Genomic DNA, 20,153 nt, shown 5'->3' with positions numbered 1-20,153 from the left:
TCACTTTTACCTTGACCTAACATTTAATCTTCAATAGATACATTGCTAGTGCTTTAAATGTGGATAATTGGTTTTGCATGTTATTGTTAATTGTACACAAGAATTGTCTTTGTTTTTCTATCAATGCACTTTCTTACATATCTTGGTAAAACTAACTTTTTGCTGATTTAGCATATTCACCTATAGTTTGTAGCTTCTCTTGTCATTTCAAAAATGTAAATAAGGCTATCCTCAGCATTATTTTGACTGACATCTATTTATAGTGGTACATTTCTTGTAAAGACTACATATCAGCATAAATTTTTTATTTACTCTTAATAACTCTGAGTAATCTCGTGTGTGTGTGTGTGTGTGTGTGTGTGGTAAGATAATAATTGATCCAGGGTAAAGATGCAGTCAAAGAATTCCAATCTTTTTAACTGTTCCTTGCCCTAAATGACTGTCCTTGATGTGCCAGCTAGAGACCACTCATCTCTTCTTCTCTGCTTACTTTCATGTCCACTAACTATGTACTGGTTTTTAACCAGTTTCATTATAGTAAAACATATCAACAAGCAATGTCAGGGGACTGGAATATTCTTTAAGCAATGTTGGCTATATTAGACTTCAAGGGGGCTAGAAAGACTTCATCTCCCCCCAGTACAAATATTACTACCTTTGTCTTCCTGCTAGTGGGCTCATTCCTAAATTAGACAACACAGGTGTGTATCCAGATGAATATATTTACAAGTCATTTCCTCTAGCCTTCTAACTCATTCTAACTCATCAGTGAGTTACAATGAGTGAGAAATCGCTATCAAAATTGTTGACATATAGATCCTAGAACCTTAAGAGAGTTTAAGAAGTTATTTAATCCAGCTCACTGCCCTCAGTCAGTTAGAACTTTACAATCCCAATTTTACAGATGCGATTAGATGAGGTCAGAGAAGTTAATTGATATGCCCCATGGCATGTGGCTAATTAATATCAGAACAGGATTGAAATTGGGTAGTACCCCTTCTACCATATAACACTATCTTCATGGATATAATAACTATTTATTGGATAGAAACAATGGGCCCTACATATCTTTGAAATCTAAGGAAACTGGCAAAAATTGAAAACATAAAAACAGCTATGTTCTCAAAGACTTTAACTCTGTCTTCCCACAGTTTATGCTTAACTAATTGAAAAGCATCAGGACAGTGAACAGAAGGAATACATTGGAATGCAAGAGATATGAATGAAAGCACTGGAGTTAGAAGCTTGTGAGTTTGGGACCTGGCGTGGTGGCTCACACTTGTAATCCCAGCACTTTGGGAGGCCAAGGCACAAGGCACACTTGTAATCCCAGCACTTGAGGTCAGGAGTTCGAGACCAGCCTGGCCAACATGGCAAAACCCCATCTCTATTAAAAATACAAAAATTAGCCTGGCGTGGTGACATGCGCCTGAAATCCCAGCTACTCAGAAGCCTGAGGCAAGAGAATTGCCTGAACCTGGGAGGCAGAGGTTGCAGTGAGCTGAGATCATACCACTGCACTCCATCCTGGGCGACAGAGCAAGACTTTGTCTCAAAAAAAATAAAAAATAAAATTAAAAAGATATAATTCATTAAACATTGTTCTTACATCAAAAGGTATGATTTATTGTTTATTCTTATATATTTTCAGCTTGTTCTCAAGATTATAACACCACTAGTACAATATAAGGACACATTCCCCAAAGCATTAGCATTTGGTTTTACCATTTTTGTCTACTTAAATTAATAGATATGACTTGTTATCCTTTCTTTTTTTTTTCTTTTCCTAATTGTAAGACTAACACAAAGTATTTGTAGAATGCTTGGGAATACAAAAAATGTAGAGAAATCCTACCACCTGGAGATAAATCTCTTTCTATGTGTATTATTTTACTTACATTAACTCTCTTTCTAAGAGAGTCCCTGAAGAAAGAAATTTTTCTCTCAATACTTTAATAAATCAAGGCTAGGTTTTATCTATGCCCCGATTTCCATGCATAGTTCAGCAAAGCTCCATTTTTCCCTAAAAGCCAACCTTCCTCTGCCCTTGACTTTGGTGAGATGACAGCGTCCAAAGGAAGCTGAAGTTGAAAGGTTGAAGGAAGTGGCTAAGTGAGGCAGGGGACTCTCAGTAAATTAAAGTGTTGAGAATCAGCTTTTAAAGATAATTTTTTCTGAAGATAGGTGTAGAAAAGACAGGAAATCCTGCTTTGTTACTTATTTAGAACCTAACTTACTTTATTTCTGTTTTAAAAAATACAGAAAAAAATTCTACAGACTACTGTCTAAAACTTTTATCCTCTTACTAGTACATCTTGGTGCGTTTGATTTATGGATTCACAGAGAATATTTAAGGGATGTTCATACTAACAAGAGTTATTGTCAGCTGACAGGAAGGAGGACTTCAGGGTGGGTGAGGCCAGGCCTCAGGAAATTCCAGAAAGTCTTAAAAGTATCTTGTCTATTCTCTTTCCTTGACATTAGAATGATTAAGGCTCCCTCAAGTGTCTGAGTAAAAAGAGCTAAAATGTGATAAAAGTCTGTTACAGAAGAGTATTTTGGTATCAGAATTCGTGTGTGTGTGTGTGTGTGTTTTGTGTTCCTTTACTTCCTTGAGAAATATTGGAGGAAACCCCTCCTTCTTCCTGTACCTCAGATTACCACTTGGAAAATGTGGATCATAAAACTCATCTTAAATGCATTTGAGATCATTTTTGTTTGTTTGTTTGTTTGCTTGCTTTTGAGACAGGGCCTTGTTATATCGTCCAGGCTGGAGTGCCGGGGCACAATCATAGGTCACTACAGCCTCGACTTCCTGGACTCAATCATCCCACTTCAGCCTCCGGAGTAGCTGGGACTGCAGGCATCACCACTATGCCTGGCTAATTTTTTTTTTTTTTTTTTAAAGCAGAGACAGGGTCTCACCATGTTGCCCAGGCTGATCTCAAACTCCTGGCCTCAAGCAACCCTCCTGCCTCTGCCTCCCAAAGTGCTGGATTACAGGCGTGAGCTACCACGCCCAGCCTTGTTGTTATTCTTTTTTTTTTTTTTTTTTGGGGGGGTGGGGCGGAGTTTCGCTCTTGTTGCCCAGGCTGGAGTGCAATGGCGTGATCTTGGCTCGCTGCAACCTCTGCCTCCCAGGTTCAAGTGATTCTCCTGCCTCAGCCTCCCAAGTAGCTGGGATTACAGGTGTCCACCACCATGCCTGGCTAATTTTTTGTATTTTTAGTAGAGATGGGGTTTCACCAGGTTGGCCAGGTTGGTCTTGAACTCCTGACCTCAGGTAATCCACCTGCCTTGGCCTCCCAAAGTGCTGGGATTACAGGCATGAGCCACCATGCCCAGCCAAGCCTTGTTATTCTTAATGTTTGAGTGGTTTAAAGGTGAAATATATTGAAAGTAATGCTGTGCTTCACTGAACCTGCGATATCATGAAAACCCATCTTACCTCACAGCTGTGTTTCTCCTCAGAGCCACAGTCTGTATGAGGGATTTTTCAGAGACAGTTCTCTTCCTATTTTTCTCTGAGACCAAATGGCTTTGTTCATGTACTTTTTTAGTACTTGAAATAAATTAATGCAGAGTTTTGATACCCCCATGGAGCAAAAGGCTTCAAAAAAAAGGTAAGGGGGCCTTATTTAATTAACCCAGCAGTTTAAATTAAAAGCTAACAAAGATGGGAAATTTTATGCGTTTAAAACCAAAGAAAGCCTCTGCCCTGGCAAGGTGTATGCTCTGGTTCTAAATGATTATGCTCCCAATAACAGCAGTGCAGGGACTTCACACAAGACAGAGAAGGATGTGTAGCTCCAACTAGACAGAAAACAGCTCTCTGCAGGTTGTAACATGTAACACATATTCTTGGAATTGTGCTTGAACTTTGACAGAAAGCAAATATCTGTATTAAGAACACAGAACCCGTTTCCTTTTGGTTGTTCTTTTCTTTTTTTCTTTTTTTTTTTTTTTTTGGAAATGGGGTCTTGCTCTGTTGCCCAGGCTGGAGTGCAGTAATCTTGGCCCACTGCAACCTCCACCTCCCTGGTTCAAGCGATTCTCCTGCCTCAGCCTCCCCAGTAGCTAGGATTACAGGCACGTGCCACCATGCTCAGCTAATTTTTGTATTTTTAGTAGAGATGGGGTTTCGCCATGTGGGCGAGGCTGGTCTCAAACTCCTGACCTCAAGTGATCCACCTGCCTCGGCCTCCCAAAGTGCTAGGATTACAGGTGTGAGCCACTGCACCCGGCCCCTTTTGGTTTTTCAAAAGAAGTTTATCAGTAGGCTTTCTCCCATTTTGAGTTTTGAAAATTCTAATTTTTGTAGTGGTTATCTTCCAGTGCAGCAGCATTTGGAATAAATATGTGGAATTTTCTTTATTTTAATGATCAGCAAATAAGAAGTATGTTGAAAACAAAATAAAAAGGTGGGCCAGGCGCGGTGGCTTACGCCTGTCATCCCAGCACTTTGGGAGGCCAAGGAGGGCAGATCATTTGAGGTCAGGAGTTTCAGACCAGCTTGACCAACATGGTGAAACCCCAACTCTACCAAAAACTCAAATAATTAGGTGTGGTAGCAGACGCCTGTAATCCCAGCTACTCTGGAGGCTGAGACAGGAGAATTGTGTGAGCTTAGGAGGTGGGGGTTGCAGTGAGCTGAGATCACACCACTGTATTCCAGCCTGGGTGACAGAGTAAGACTCTGTCTCAAAATAAATAAATAAATAAAAATTAAAAATGTGGATTGAGGGTATCCTGCCAGACATATCTTTTCCTTTTGACCAAGATCTTCATTATCTTTTTTCTTTTTTTTTTTTTTTTTTTTGAGATGGAGTCTCGCTCTGTCACCTAGCCTGGAGAGCAGTGGCACAATTTCTGCTCACTGCAACCTCCATCTCTGAAGTTCAAGTGATTCTCAACCTCAGCCTCCTGAGTAGCTGAGATTACAGGTGCGCACCGCCACCCCAGCTAATTTTTGTATATTTAGTAGAGACAGGGTTTCACAATGTTGGCCAGGCTGGCCTCGAACTCTTGACCTCAAGAGATCCACCCACCTTGGCCTCCCAAAGTGCTGGGATTACAGGTGTGAGCCACCGCACCCAACCACTTCATTTTCAGATAGCGGCTGCTCCTAGAGCAAGAGTATGTTGAGCTGTGTGAGTCATATGGATGTATAATAATTCATGAAAGTATGCCTGACCTGTGTGTGATGTAGCACGGATAGTGTTGTTCCAGCTTGTTTTAGTTTTTATTAAAAATAGACCCAATCAGGCCGGATGCAGTGGCCCACACCTGTAATCCCAGCACCTTGGGAGGCCGAGGCTCCTTGAGCCCAAGAGTTTGAGACCAGCCTGGGCAACGTGGTGAGACCCTGTCTCTACTGTAAAAAAAAAAAAAAAAGAAAGAAAGAAAAAATAGACTTAAATCAACAATATAAATTGCAAAGCTGACTGGATATAAATTATTATTATTACTTTTTGAGCAGGGTCTTACTCATCACCCAGGCTGGAATGCAGTAGTGCGGTCACGGCTCACTGTATTCTTTTTTGTAGAGATGGAGTCTTCCTATGTTGCCCAGGCTAGTCTTGAACTCCTAGGCTCAAAGGATCCTCCTGGCTCAGCCTCCCAAAGTGTTGGGATTACAGGCATGAACCACCAAACCCAGCAAGGAGACAAATTATATATACACACACACACATATGTAATATGTATATAATATATTTTTATTTTTATTATTTCTTTTGAGACAGGGTCACACTCTGTTGCCCAGGCTGGAGTGCAGTGGCATGATCTTGGCTCACTGCAACATACACCTCCCAGGCTCAAGCAATTTTCCTACTGCAGCCTTCTGAGTACCTGGGACTACAGGCGCATGCCATAATGCCCAGCTAACTTTTGGTTTTTTTTGAGACGGAGTCTTGCTTTGTCACCCAGGCTGGAGTGCAGTGGCCTGATCTCTGCTCACTGCAACCTCCGCCTCCTGGGTTCAAGCGATTCTCCTGCTTCAGCCTCCTGAGTAGCTGGGATTACAGGTGCGGGCCACCACGCCTGGCTAATTTTTTTGCATTTTTAGTAGAGACGGGGTTTCACCATGTTGGTCAGGCTGGTCTCGAACTCCTGACCTCGTGATCCTTCTGCCTCGGCCTCCCAAAGTGCTGGGATTACAGGCGTGAGCCACCGTGCCCAGTCTAACTTTTGTATCTTTTTTGTAGAGACAAGGTTTTGCCATGCTGCCCAAGCTGGTCTCAAACTCCTGGGCTCAAGTGATCCACCTGTCTCAGCCTCCCAAAGTGCTAGGATTATAAGCTTGAGCCACTGTGCCTAGCCTTGGGAGATATATTAAATATATATTGAATTTGAAAGAAACTATTCTTACTGGTGTGGTATAAACAGACCAATCCTTGGCTCTGATTTCTGATGTGGTATGTTTTCTGTCTCCAAGGAGGGGGTATAAAAAATATGTAAAAGTGATAGTTCACTTTCTTTTCTTTTTTTTTTTTTTTGAGACAGGGTCTCACTCTGTTTCTCAGGCTGGAGTGCAGTGGAGCGATCTCTGCTCCCTGCAACCTCTGCCCCCCTGGTTCAAGCAATCCTCCCACCTCAGCCTCCCAAGTAGCTGGGACCGCAGGTGCATGTCACCACACCTGGCTAATTTTTTGTATTTTTAGTAGAGACAGGGTCTCACCATGTTGCCCAGTCTGGTCTCAAATTCCTGAGCTCCAGCAATCTGCCCGCCTTGGCCTCCCAAAATGGTGGTTTTACAGGTGTGAGCCACCATGCCCAGTCTCACTTCCTCAAACTTTACAGTAAAGTTGATTAGTCCATTGAACTTAAAGATTTAGTAACTATTTACTAATGTTAAATTCAAAAGGGTGCTAAGTGTTTTATTCTTATCTCCTGTCATACTGGATTTCAGATATCTTTTTTAACCTCAAGTTGTCTGGAAATAAACTGAGATTTGAATGATAGGATCTGATGTAAGGATCTCATTATAAGCTGAATAAACATGACATACTCCCTGTGTACTATGTCTGGGAATATTCTTTGACACTACAGTCTTAAAAATTATAATTTGTAACTTTCATTAAAGATCTACCTTAGATATGACAGAGATAAATGTAGTAATTTAATGGAATCACAAAACACTTCATTAAAAAAAATCTTTGTTGGCCAGGCGCAGTGGCTCAAGCTTGTAATCACAGCACTTTGGGAGGCCGAGGTGGGCGGATCACCTGAGGTCAGGAGTTCGAGACCAGCCTGGCCAACATGGTGAAACCCTGTCTCTACTAAAAATATAAAAATTAGCTGAGCATGGTGGCAGGCGCCTGTAATCCCAGCTACTCAGGAGGCTGAGGCAGGAGAATCACTTGAACCTGGGAGGCGGAGGCTGCAGTGAGCCAAGATCACATCACTATACTCCAGCCTGGGTGACGGAGTGAGACTCTGTCTCAAAAAAAAAAAATCTGTGTCATCCACTTTTCTGTAAGTCCTGGAAATATATGGACAAAAAGGCATGGTCTCTGCCCTTAGTGAGCTTACAGTGCAGTAGAGGGACAGTCACCCAACAGTTTGACCAGGTACCTTGAGAACAGAGGAAAGATTACCTAAATTTATGTTGGCAAGGTACTCAGACTTCATAGTGCTTACACTGAGTCTTTGAAGGAACAGGCATTTGTAAGGCAACAGAAGGACAAAGGAGGCTGGCTCGGTAGGGACCAGATCTAGAACAGGACTTCTGTGACTTACTAAGCACTTCGAGTTTAATTTCAGGAATGAGTAGGAATGCTGAAAGAATTTTGAAAAGGAGGGTAAAATAGATTTATATTTTTGGATAATTACTTTGTATTATTGGGGATAATGGTAGCATCATAGAGACTGGATTGGAAGATAATGAAGAACCAGTTAAAGAGGTATAATGCAGTAGTCCAGGGGAAAGATGATGAAGACATGAACTAAGGCAGCAATAGCAGAAATAACATGAGACGGAGAAAGGAAACAGCAGATTCTGCATCAGCACTTGGCAGTTTAGAAGGACATGTCATTGTCATCTGGTATGTGAGGATTCCCCTCCAATAAGTGTTACAAAGCTTGCTGGTTAGGAAGCCATCTTTAGCAGAGAATATTACCTATATAGGGTTACTTATTTTTCCCTGGGCACCTGTGAATGTGTAGTGCTTGATATTTGTAATTTAAAAAAAATTCTATAGAATATAAAATATAAAATCAAATCTGGATTTTATTTATAAAGAAGGTTTGCAAGTTGAACCTTGCGTCAAGATTTCCCATTGTTTCTGCAAAACTTATCGTTGGGTTTCGTTTTCCAGATTCTCCGGGCCCAAAGCCGAAGTGCAAGTGGAAGGAAGATCTCTGAAAACAGCTATTCTCTAGATGACCTGGAAATAGGCCCAGGTAAGCAGAGAGTTCCATGTGTATGAGGTCCTTTAGGAAGTACTCACTAGTAGTAACATCTTTTGGACTCGAAGCCAATGCTTTTAAAGGAAGAGTGGCACAAATTAAAAGGAAGTCTGCCTATTAGATGCAAGCCATTCTCAAATCTCATTGCTCTCGATAAATAGCTTTTTTTTTTTTTTTTTTTTTGAGACGGAAGTTGACGTGCTCCCAAAGTGCTGGGATTACAGGCATGAGCCGTCATGCCCGGCTGCTTTTTTCATATTTTTAATCCACCCTTGTTAGTGGTAACCTATGGTAAGCAAAGGGTACTTTGAGGAGCTATAAGTAAAGTGCTACGATCAGTTTTGCCTCCAGTCATCTGGGGTTTGAGGGCTTCAGTAGATGGGCTGTGTCCCCTATCAGGTTTGGTTACCCTGTATTACCAGTGATAACATAACACTTTGAGAGTGGAATTATGTTTTAAAGGGGACATATACAGGCACTTCACAAAAGAAAAAATTAGTAAAAACAGGAAAACATCAGCTACCTAGTCATCAAAGAAATGTAAATTAAAAAGCATTGAGATCTCTTCTTTTTCATGTTAAATTAGCCAGAATTTTAAAATACGAGCCCAGGCATGGTGGCTCAGACCTATAATCTCAGCACTTAGGGAGGCTGAGACAGGAGGACCACTTAAATCCAGGAGTTTGAGACCAGCCTGGGCAACATAGACCTATCTCTACAGAAAAAAAAAAAAAAAGCCCAGCGTGGTGGTGCATCCTTGAAGTCACTGCTACTTGGGAAACTGAGGTGGTTGGATCATTTGAGCCCAAGACTTCAAAGCTGCAGTGAGCTATGATTGTACCACTGCCCCATACTCTAGCCTGGGTGACAGAGTGAGACCCTGTCTCAAAAAATAAAATATGCAATCCTCAATTATGGTAAGGTTCTTTTAATGCTAAGAAAGTGAGTGAATATTACTTTATAAATGACAATTATATTCCTGATTTTCTTCTTCGTGCTTTTAACAGAAGATATTGGCCATTAGATAAAAATAACCCAAAATTTAGAATTTTGAAATTATTTGAATCACTTTTATCTTCTAATAAAACATGTTGGCCAGTCACGGTGGTTTACACCTATAATTCCAGCGCTTTGGGAGGCTGAGGCGGGAGGATATCTTGAGCTCAGGAGTTCGAGGCTGTAGTGAGCTATGATCGTGCCACTGCACTTCAGCCTGGGTGATAGAGTGAGACCCCATCTCAGAAATAAAATAAAACATGTTATTTGGATGCTTCCAGGTCAGTTGTCATCTTCTACATTTGACTCGGAGAAAAATGAGAGTAGACGAAATCTGGAACTTCCACGCCTCTCAGAAACCTCTATAAAGGATCGAATGGCCAAGTACCAGGCAGCTGTGTCCAAACAAAGCAGCTCAACCAACTATACAGTATGTGTTCTGCATCATTCATTCATTCATTCATTCCATCATCCAGCAGATGGTCACTGAGTACTGGAATTAGGAAATGTCACCAGACCCTTGTATCTGAGCCCTGGTCCCCTAGCTGTTCTCTTTTCACATGAACCCTACCCTCGCTGGATTTGCAGTTCTTACCATGGTCTAATCCTGACTTTGCTTTCTTAGTCCTGGTTCCCACCCCACTCACTTTTTTTGTGATGTTACCAGTGAGTATCATTGAGAGTTTCCCTGGCTCTTCTACTTAATCTTTGTGTTGTTAAAGAAGTAGTATTTTATTAGTTTTAATATAACTCTTATTTTATCTTGGTTGTTGAGGGAAGAAGGAAGAAGACTGAAGAGCTTATTTTGGCTTTTGAGGGAAGAAAGAAGAAGACTGGAGAGAAATATCAGCTGTGTTCATTAACGAGGGTTTTTTTTGTGATTTTTTACTGAGATATAACTCACATAATATAAAATCACCATTTTAAAGTATACAATCTTGTGATACTTAGCATATTCACAAGGTTGTACAACCATTACCACTGTTTAATTCCAGAACCTTTCCATCACCCTGAAAAGAAACTTCATACCTGTGTAGTCACTCCCAACTTCCCCTGCTCTCATCCCCTGGCAACCACTTAGCTACTTCCTGTCTTTATGTATCTGCCTATTTTGGAAATTTCATATGAAGGAGTCATACAGTAGATCTTCTACTTAATCTTTAATCCTTACGATGTACTGTTTTCCTAAAGAAGTAGAATAGTAGATAAGGAAAAGGGAGAGATCACAAGAAGGTGACGTGCTCAGTAAGCATGAAAATTTTGATATTCAGCTGGGTGTGATGGCTCACACCTGTAATCCCAGCACTTTGGGAGGCCGAGGTGGGCAGATTGCCTGAGGTCAGGAGTTCAAGACCAGCTTGGCTAACGTGGTGAAACCCCATCTCTACTAAAAATACAAAAATTAGCCAGCATGGTGGCAGGCACCTGTAATCCCAGCTACTTGGGAGGCTGAGGCAGGAGAATCGCTGGAACCCAGGAGGCAGAGGTTGCAGTGAGGCAAGATTGCGCCACTACACTCCAGCCTGGGCGACACAGCAAGACTCCGTCTCCAGGAAAAAAAAAAAAGATTGGTATTCAAAATACAATGGAGGGTCCTTCCCCTTTACGTTGTCCTGTGCTTAACGGGTAAGCTGATGCTACAGAACTGCTAAATTGAAGTTACCTTATAGCCAGGCGCAGGAGCTCACACCGTAATCCCAACACTTTGGGAGCCTGAGGTGGGTGGGTCATTTGAAGTCAGGAGTTCAGAACCAGCCTGGCCAACATGGTGAAATCCCGTCTCTACTAAAAATACAAAAAAAAAATTAGCCAGGTGTAGTGGCACACACCTGTAATCCCAGCTACTAGGGAGGCTGAGGCAGGAGAATCACTTGAACCTAGGAGATGGAGGTTACAGTGAGCTGAGATCACACCACTGTACTCCAGCCTGGGTGACAGGGTGAGACTCCATCTCAAAAAAAAAAAAAAAAAAAGGAAGTTACCTTTCAAATGCCATTTATTCACATATATATGTATACACACACATAGATACAAATGTACACACACATATTTTTGTATCCTTCAAGCATTTGTTCTAAGATTTCAAATTACAAACCATTAATCTCTTGATGTCCTAATTGTCTAACAAAATCAAAAAGAACAATATTGAATTTTATTTGTTCTTAGGCAGATCGAAATTGGTGCATATTGGAAACCATAATGAGTATTCTGGGAGTTAAGCCTTCTCTTCCCCACATTATTAAGTATACATTCTCTAATAATATTTGGTGGACTAATTCTCTGGGCAATGAATAATTTCATCTTGGTTTTTTAACTGTAATTTTAACAACTTTATGTTTTAAGAAGAGATGATGTGTGTAAATCAATTAGCAAAGTGGAGTATCACAGGCTGATTATGCACCGTGAATGTGAAAAGCGAGCAAATTTAGACTTCCCTTAGAAGGCAGGTCAGGAGATACAGCAAATTGGGATCTGCGAAGCTGAACTTCCTCTTGTTACCAGATTTTACTGCTTCTCAGTGCCCTCCTGCTGTAAACATTCCCACCAGGTGACTCCCTATGTGGGGAAACCTGTTGAGTAACTTTTTTTTTTTAACTCCTAACCATTTCTGCATTACAGTTCTCCTGCTCTGGAGATTTTAAGAGTTGAAAACTCTTTGGGAATTCTTGTAAAAAGTACATTTTGTCTCATCCCCAAAGAATTTCCCAGGCCCCTTACAGAATATGGTTGTAACAAGGCACATACATACTCTCTGGCAGCAGTTCTGGAGGTGGGGCTTTGAGATGGGGTCAGGAATGAGTTGTTGGGCTATATAATGTTCTGCAGTGCTAGCTGCCAGCTCCTCCTCACAGATGCACCTCCGGTGCTGTGGGTCGTAATCTAGAATACCATCACTAGGTGACTAAGTCATACTCACATTCCTTTCATTGACCTGGTGGCCATAAATTGTTTCCTCCCATGCCTAAAGATTCACAGAGAACAGAAAAGTACTAGATTACTACATTATTAGCAGACTAATGGTGGGAAATGTCTATAGTCATCGACCTCTATGTTTATTTTATTTTATTTTATTTTTTTATTTTGAGATGGAGTTTCACTCTTGTTCCCCAGGCTGGAGTGCAGTGGCGTGATCTCGGCTCACTGCAACCTCTGCCTCCCTGATTCAAGCGATTCTCCTGCCTCAGCCTCCCAAGTAACTGGGATTACAAGTGTGCACCACCACACGTGGCTAATTTTTTGTATTTTTAGTAGAGACAGGATTTCACCATGTTCGCCAGGCTGGTCTTGAACTCCTGACCTCAGGCGATCCACCCGCCTCAGCTTCCCAAAGTGCTGGGATTACAGGCGTGAGCCACTGCACCCAGGTTCTATGTTGATTTTAGATGTAATAGATGAGTTAATTGTAATATTCACCCCAGTGTCCTTTGCAAGGAAAAAAATGCAATTATCCTTATTCCTTATGACAATAAAATGCATGTTCTTTTATGTTGAGGCTCTGTTTTGAGAAGTAAAATAAATTATGTCTTTAGTACAATATATGAATTGTATATGGAAAAACATGCTTTTTGAAAGTCCCACCAAAAAGGTTTCTTTATGGTATCATTAAATATAATTTCAGTTTTTATATGTATACATCATCCCTGTCTCTCTTTCCAGGCCGGGCATTTATATATGTATGGTCAGTATATTTTCTATTATTGGCACTTGGCATCTCCTTTCCCCTGCTCCAGAATGGTCTTTTCTGATAAAACTCACAAGCTTTGCATTACCACAAGCTCTGCTGCTAGAAGAGTGAATCACAAGAATGTTGTATGCTTGGGGTGTTCTGTGTGCCTGTGTTGATGTGTCTGTATTCTAATGAGCAATCCAGTTTTACACTAGCATACAGATATTTAACTCTGAGGTATGTGTCCACAAAGCTGCTTTTGTCATTTCACTAGTCAGTGGGTTTTGCTTGTGAGAGTTAGGGGGTTGATTTGACCCGAGGCTTCTTAGAAGAATTTTTTAACATTCCAAGTTTATCTAATAGATGTGCTATGAAGAGAACAGAATGATGGGACTTTAAAAAAATTTTTACAGTTATTTTTATTTTGTAGAATGAGCTGAAAGCCAGTGGTGGCGAAATCAAAATTCATAAAATGGAGCAAAAGGAGAATGTGCCCCCAGGTCCTGAGGTCTGCATCACCCATCAGGAAGGGGAAAAGGTAGGTTGAAAAGTCTGATGTCCAGTTGCCAAGGAAGCATGTGTTCTAAATTAGATGCTTGAAATTAGAAACAACTCTAACTCTAGGCTGTAGAGTGTCTGGGAATTTGGTAACAGCTGCCAGGACAGATTGCCATTTTTGCAGGTCACATAATTTCAGTTGAGTAGCTCTGCAACTTATAGCTGACCAAATAATGAGCCTTCATTGGAAAATTATTTTGCTCAGCAGATGCTCAGAAGGCAAAGAGCTGAAGTGATTTTTTAAAATCTATTTGGAGGCTGGGCACAGTGGCTCACGCCTGTAATCCCAGCACTTTGGGAGGGTGAGGCAGGTGGATCACCTGAGGTCAGGAGTTCGAGACCAGCCTAGCCCACAGGGTGAAACCCCATCTCTACTAAAAATATAAAAAGCCGGGTGTGGGGGTGCATGCCTGTAATCCCAGCTGCTCGGGAGGCTGTGGCAGGAGAATCGCTTGATCCCAGGAGGTGGAGGTTGCAGTGAGCTGAGTGCACTGCACTCCAGCCTGGGCGACAGAGCAAGACTCTGTCTCAAAAATAAATAAATAAAATAAAAATCTATTCGGGCCGAGTGTGGTGGCTCACGCCTGTAATCCCAGCACTTTGGGAGGCCAAGGCAGGCAGATCATCTGAGGTCGAGAGTTCGAGACAAGCCTGACCAACATGGAGAAACCCCGTCTCTAATAAAAATACAAAAAATTAGCCGGGCATGGTGGTGCATGCCTGTAATCCCAGATACTCAGGAGGCTGAGACAGTTGAATCGCTTGAACCCAGGAGGCGGATGTTGCAGTGGGCTGAGGTCACACCACTGCACTCCAGCCTAAGCAACAAGAGCGAAACTCCATCTCAAAAAAAAAAAATCTATTTGGGAGAGCATAGATTCAGGGCAACTTGATTCCATGCTCCTGGGAAGAATAATTTACAAAAATAAAATAAAAATATATTTGATTAGAGATTATCTTCAGATACTCATATATTCTTAATTTAAGTATACATTTAACACATTTTGTGCAAGAAAATCTTACTCTTCCACTCATATTATTTTGAAAGGCAGTCACTATGCTAAGTAAGCATAGGAAATAATAAGCTTAAAAACTTATTGACAAACCATTCCATGTGGTCTTTATGTGCAAGAAAACAGAGTAGAGGAGAGATTAATAAGAGGTCAGCTATCATAAAAATGTATGATAGGTGCTGTGAGGCTGTGAGAGGGGTATACAGGACCACAGAAGCCCAGAGCAAAGATATTTAACCTGACTTCCTCAAGAAGGTGATGTCTGAGCTGAGTCTTGAAGAACGTGTGGAAGTAGGCCAAGTGAATGAGGGGAAGGTTGAGTTAGAAATAGAAGGCTATTCCAGGCAGATACAACAGAGATTTGGAAACCAGAGATGATGGCTGAGGAATTACAGGGATTGTTTGTTTGTTTGGAGATGGAGTCTCGCTCTGTCACCCAGGCTGGAGTGCAGTGGCGTGATCTCAGCTCACTACAACCTCCATCTCCCAGGTTCAAGCAATTCTCCTGCCGCAGCCTCCCAAGTAACTGTGATTCCGGGTACGTGCCACCATGCCTGGCTAATTGTTTGTATTTTTAGTAGAGATGGGGTTTCACCATGTTGGCCAGGCTGGTCTTGAACTCCTGACCTCACGTGATCCACCCGCCTTGGCCTCCCAAAGTGAGGGATTACAGCTGTAAGCCACCGTGCTTGGCCAGAATTACAGGTTTGCTGACTTGGCTGGAGCATGAGGTACACATAGGCAGCAGTGAGAGACAGGTGGAAGGAGAGGGCTAGGGTAAATCTTTATGTCACCCTTAAGGGTTTGGATGTAGTGGTGCAGCAGGAGAAAGCCACTGAAAGATTTTAAGCAAATCATATTTGTGTGTTATGTATTAATCATTAGATGAATGGCTTAATTGAAATAAGTAACATTATTTATGTCAGGGGAATTATCATGTTCTCTACCATTGCCCATTGTCCAATTCTTTTAGTCTTTCAGTCAATATGATAATCGAATGTTAAATGAGATGAGGAGAAAGGGTTTTCAAATCTATTACAGTGATTTAATCTTAGGAGAAAAGCCATTGCTTCTGTTACACTTATTGACACCCTTGACGCCATTCTTCCAAAAGACATGGAGATCATTAAATGGATTAAGAGCAACAGTTCTCAAGCTTAGTTGGAATTTGTATTTTTTAAATTTTTTTAGAGATGAGGTCTTGCTCTGTCACCCAGGCTGGAGTGTAGTAGTGTGATCATAGCTCACTGTAGCCTCCAACTCTTGGGCTCAAGTGATCTTCCTGCCTCAGCCTCCCAAGTGGCTGGGACTACAGGTGTGCACCACCACATCTGGCTAATTTATTTTTATCTTTATTTTTTGTATAGACAGGGTCTCGCTATAATTCTCAGAATGGTCTCAAACTTCTGGCTTCAAGCAATCCCCTCAGCCTCAGCCTCCCAAAGTACTGGAAGTACAGGTGTGAACCACTGCACCCTGTCTCAAACTTATTTGACTACAACAGACTTTACAAAGTAGGATGGTATATTGTCAGAATACTAACAGGAACTCATGAGATATACTACTCTTGGATCAAAGCAGACCCACAGAAAAATGGTCTCAAACTGATGGCTACAAAATTTGATTCAAAGACCAGAACAGAAAAAAATATTAGAATAGTTTATTTTATAAAAACATCACAAATGTATGTTGGAATAACAAGACAAAATACTTGGCAGTCATGTGTTACATGGTCATATAATCCCCCATAAATTGCAAACATCCTTGCAGCAGTGGACTCAGGCATTAGCCCATGAGGCACATGCCATGTATTAAGTGAGTTATCTTGTTAAACTGTCTTGTTTTCTCATCTTTTAAATGGGAGATTATTTCTTAAGAATAACTGACTAAATATTTTTGAAGTTTTTCTTATATACTGTTAAAAAAAAAAAAGAAAGAAAGAAATTTTAAGAGAAAAATATTCCCAGCATTGAAATATCCCCATCTTTATCCCAGGAGCATAGTTTGGGAAACAGTCATTTGGGAAATAATGCTTGAATTGTCCCTGTATCTAAATTCATGTTTCCTTCGTCATTGTCTTCATGCTGATTTGAAACTGGAACTCTGAACTGAACTGGAAGATTAGAACATTTTAATTATAGCCTAAAAGGACATTAGTGCGACTGTGAATCATGAAGTGGGTGGGGAAGAAAGGAGATAAAGACAATACATATTCTTCAAGCACATGCTGCAGGTTTACAAACCCTCAGCTGCCTTAAAATTCGCAATGTTTTTCAGACCCTTAGCTATCCTTTTGGCTGTTTGCCTAGCTTTTGTTAACCAATACCTAAGTGTTATTTGAACTTCAGCTTGTTAAAAAAAAAAAAAGGACATGTGCCTGGCGAGGTGGCTCACGCCTGTAATCCTAGCACTTTGGGAGGCCAAGGTGGGCAGATTACCTGAGGTCAGGAGTCTGAGACCATCCTGGCCAACATGGTGAAACCCTGCTCTACTAAAAATACAAAAATTAGCCGGGTGTGATAATGGGCACCTGTAATCCCAGCTACTCGGGAGGCTGAGGCAGGAGAATCACTTAAACCCAGGAGGCAGAGGTTGCAGTGAGCTGAGATCGCACCATTGGATTCCAGCCTTGCAACAGAGCAAGACTCCATTCAAAAAAAAAAAAAAAAAGCAAAGATTACCTCACAGGTTCAAGGTGACCAAATTAAAGGTGAGAGAAGAACATCCTGGGATGGAGGTACCTACTAATTCTCAAGAACTGAAGAGCTTTTTGTAGGCATGCACAACTTTCAGAAAATTTATTTCATATCATTAGATAAAATAGTGCATTTGTAAGGCGATTAGTTGAATACCTGGCACATAGTAAACACCCAGTAAATGCTGGCTGTGATTGTACCGGTTTATTTTATGCCATGTCAGAATTCCTGTAATGAAGAGAGTAGTGGAAAAAATAACCACGCTGAAATTCAGGTGCAGTCAGCCAGCAGCTTAATCTTCATTGTAAATCTATTCAGTTTGTCAGACATCCTGATATAAACACTCAGCATTGCCCATAAAATCCGTGGCATCTGAATAAAAGGAAATTATGTGAAGAGTGCACATTGGGTCACCTGTTGACTCTTCATGATTTTGGATGTGGAGTAAGATACCAGGAAGGCATGGGGGCCAGTAGAAAGGAGGGAGAGCTCTAATAGAGAGTTCTTTTATTTAAATTTGATGGCTTTTGAGAAAATGATATATACACCTATACGTAAGATCTGCCATCTTTTTAAACATTGCCATTTTGAGACTGGGATTAGAAGGGAAACTGTCCTCAAAGATAATACTGAGGTTAGTTTTAGGTAAATTTGTTTTATAACTGTCAAAAGGTCTTCTATATAGGCAAGCTCGTTTCAGCAGGATGTAGTTGGTTGGGAAATAAGAATTAGGAAAATTAAAAAATAAGAATGGTTCCTATATTTAAATACTTTATCTTTCCTTGGAGTGGGTTATGGTTATACGGTGAGGAGCTTTGCTCTCCTTGATAGAGGGCTTTGTTTTGCTTTGTTTTTTGAGAGCAGAAAAATATGGTTTAGAAGTTGTTTTATAAAGGGAGATGATGCACACTTTTGGCAGTTGAGTGCAGTCTGTTTCTCGGGTTACTCTGTAATTGAGAGGCATGTTAATATCCTCATAAAAGACATTTTGCTGCCTCTTGTTCAAATGCTCAGCTGTTCTGGTGCCCGTTATTTCCCCTAGGCAGCCAGTGACTGACTGGAGTCAGCAGGTTTTTATGGCATTAACAGCAGTTTGCTCTTTTATTTTTAATATGACTCTTAATCCCCCTCTAACTTTTTTTTTTTTTTTTTTTTTGTAGATTTCTGCAAATGAGAATAGCCTGGCAGTCCGTTCCACCCCTGCCGAAGATGACTCCCGTAAGCATTCTTTCTTAGATCTGGAGGATGAGGTTCTTGTTTTCTATCTGTATTTGGTTCAGGGGTGTTCCCATTACTGTCAGTGCTGAGAAAATAACATAGTAAATCCTCTACTTGAATTTAAGGGCTAATGCTTGAATGTCCTTTACACACTTCATGGCTTAAGGAGAAGTTAAATTCAATTGAATATAGTTAACTTGGGACAAACTGAATACTTGTAATGCTTTTCTCATTGAATTCATCCTACTTTTTGCACCAAACCCTTTCAGAATTGAAGCTGTATAAACTAATTTTGAAGTTTCATTTTAACAGAAGTTTGGCCAATACGGATTTTATTCATTTATAATGTTATTCATAAATACCTATTCTTTAGTGAATAAGTATTTGAATAATCTGTTAAAGATACATATTTTTTCCCTGTTTATCTAAATGTATATTATAGTCAACCTCCTAGCCAGGTTCTAGGGATTTTCCTGCTGACAGTGAATTTTGTCACCTGTCATCCTATTTTGGAGTCATTTTGAGCCTCCCTTTTCCCAAAGACAAAAATGTTTTTTTTTGTTTTTTACTTGACTATGTCCACTTTTTATTCTGATTTTCAGTATAACTTTTAATTTTCATTTTTTAGAGACAGGGTCTCTTTCTGTTGCCTAGGCTGGAGTGCAGTGGTGTGATCATAGCTCACTGCAGCCTCAAACTCCTGGGCTCAAGCAGTCCTCCCACCTCAGCCTCCCAAATAGCTAGGACTACAGGCACACACCACCATACCCAGCTAATTTTCTTTGAGGGAGTCTCACTCTGTCACCCAGGTTGGAGTGCAGTGGTGCAATCTCGGCTCACTGTAACCTCCCCCTCCCAGGTTCAAGCGATTCTCCTGTCTCAGCTTCCTGAGTAGCTGGGATTACAGGCGCACACCACCATGCCTGGCTAATTTTTTGTATTTTAGTAGAGACAGGGTTTCACCATGTAGCCCAGGCTGGTCTTGAACTCCTGAGCTCAGGCAATCCACCCGCCTCGGCCTCACAAAGTGCTAGGATTACAGGCGTGAGCCACCGTGCCTGGCCGTACCCAGCTAATTTTTTAATATTTTTGTAGAGAAAAGGTCTCACTTTGTTGCCCAGGTTGGTCTCCAACTCCTGGTCTCAAGCAGTCCTACCACCGCAGCCTCTCAAAGTGTTGAGATTACGGGCGTGAGCCACTGTGCCCAGCCCATTTAAAAATATATGTTGCTGGGCCAGGCGCAGTGGCTCACACCTGTAATCCCAGCACTTTGGGAGGCCTAAGTGGGTGGATCACTTGAGGTCAGGAATTCAAGACCAGCCTGGCCAATATGGTGAAACCCCAAGCTCTACTAAAAATACAAAAATTAGCCAGGCGTGGTGGTGGGCGCCTGTAATCCCAGCTACTCAGGACACTGAGGCAGGAGAATTGCTTGAACCCAGGAGGTGGAGGTTGCAGTGAGCTGAGATCGCACCATCGCACTCCAGCCTGGGCTACAGAGCGAGACTCCGACTCAAAACAAAATATATATATATGTTGCTGGCCAGGCACGGTGGCTCACGCCTGTAATCCCAGCACTTTGGGAGGCCAAGGCGG

General features: G+C 41.4%; 1 protein-coding gene across 13 annotated transcripts in view; it reads left to right on the top strand.

The window, feature by feature from the left end:
- LIMA1 (LIM domain and actin binding 1) overlaps nucleotides 1-20,153 on the top strand; it is a 107,733-nt gene that overhangs the window by 69,134 nt on the left and 18,446 nt on the right. For 11 of the 13 annotated variants that reach the window (NM_001394893.1, NM_001394891.1, NM_001394890.1 and 8 more), the window contains 4 exons: nucleotides 8,319-8,403; nucleotides 9,687-9,835; nucleotides 13,503-13,610; nucleotides 18,500-18,557. In NM_001394893.1, the coding sequence (NP_001381822.1) occupies nucleotides 8,319-8,403; nucleotides 9,687-9,835; nucleotides 13,503-13,610; nucleotides 18,500-18,557 (400 nt within the window). Of the gene's footprint in view, nucleotides 1-8,318; nucleotides 8,404-9,686; nucleotides 9,836-12,213; nucleotides 13,611-18,499; nucleotides 18,558-20,153 lie in introns of those variants that run through there. The other 2 variants (NM_001394892.1, NM_001243775.2) reach the window with 2 other exon arrangements.

The sequence above is a fragment of the Homo sapiens genome, chromosome 12, assembly GCF_000001405.40.
Source record: "Homo sapiens chromosome 12, GRCh38.p14 Primary Assembly".
In the NCBI taxonomy this organism is placed as follows: Eukaryota; Metazoa; Chordata; class Mammalia; order Primates; family Hominidae; genus Homo; species Homo sapiens.
The sequence above is the reverse complement of the archived record's forward strand: the minus strand, read 5'-3'. Positions and strand labels throughout refer to the sequence as shown.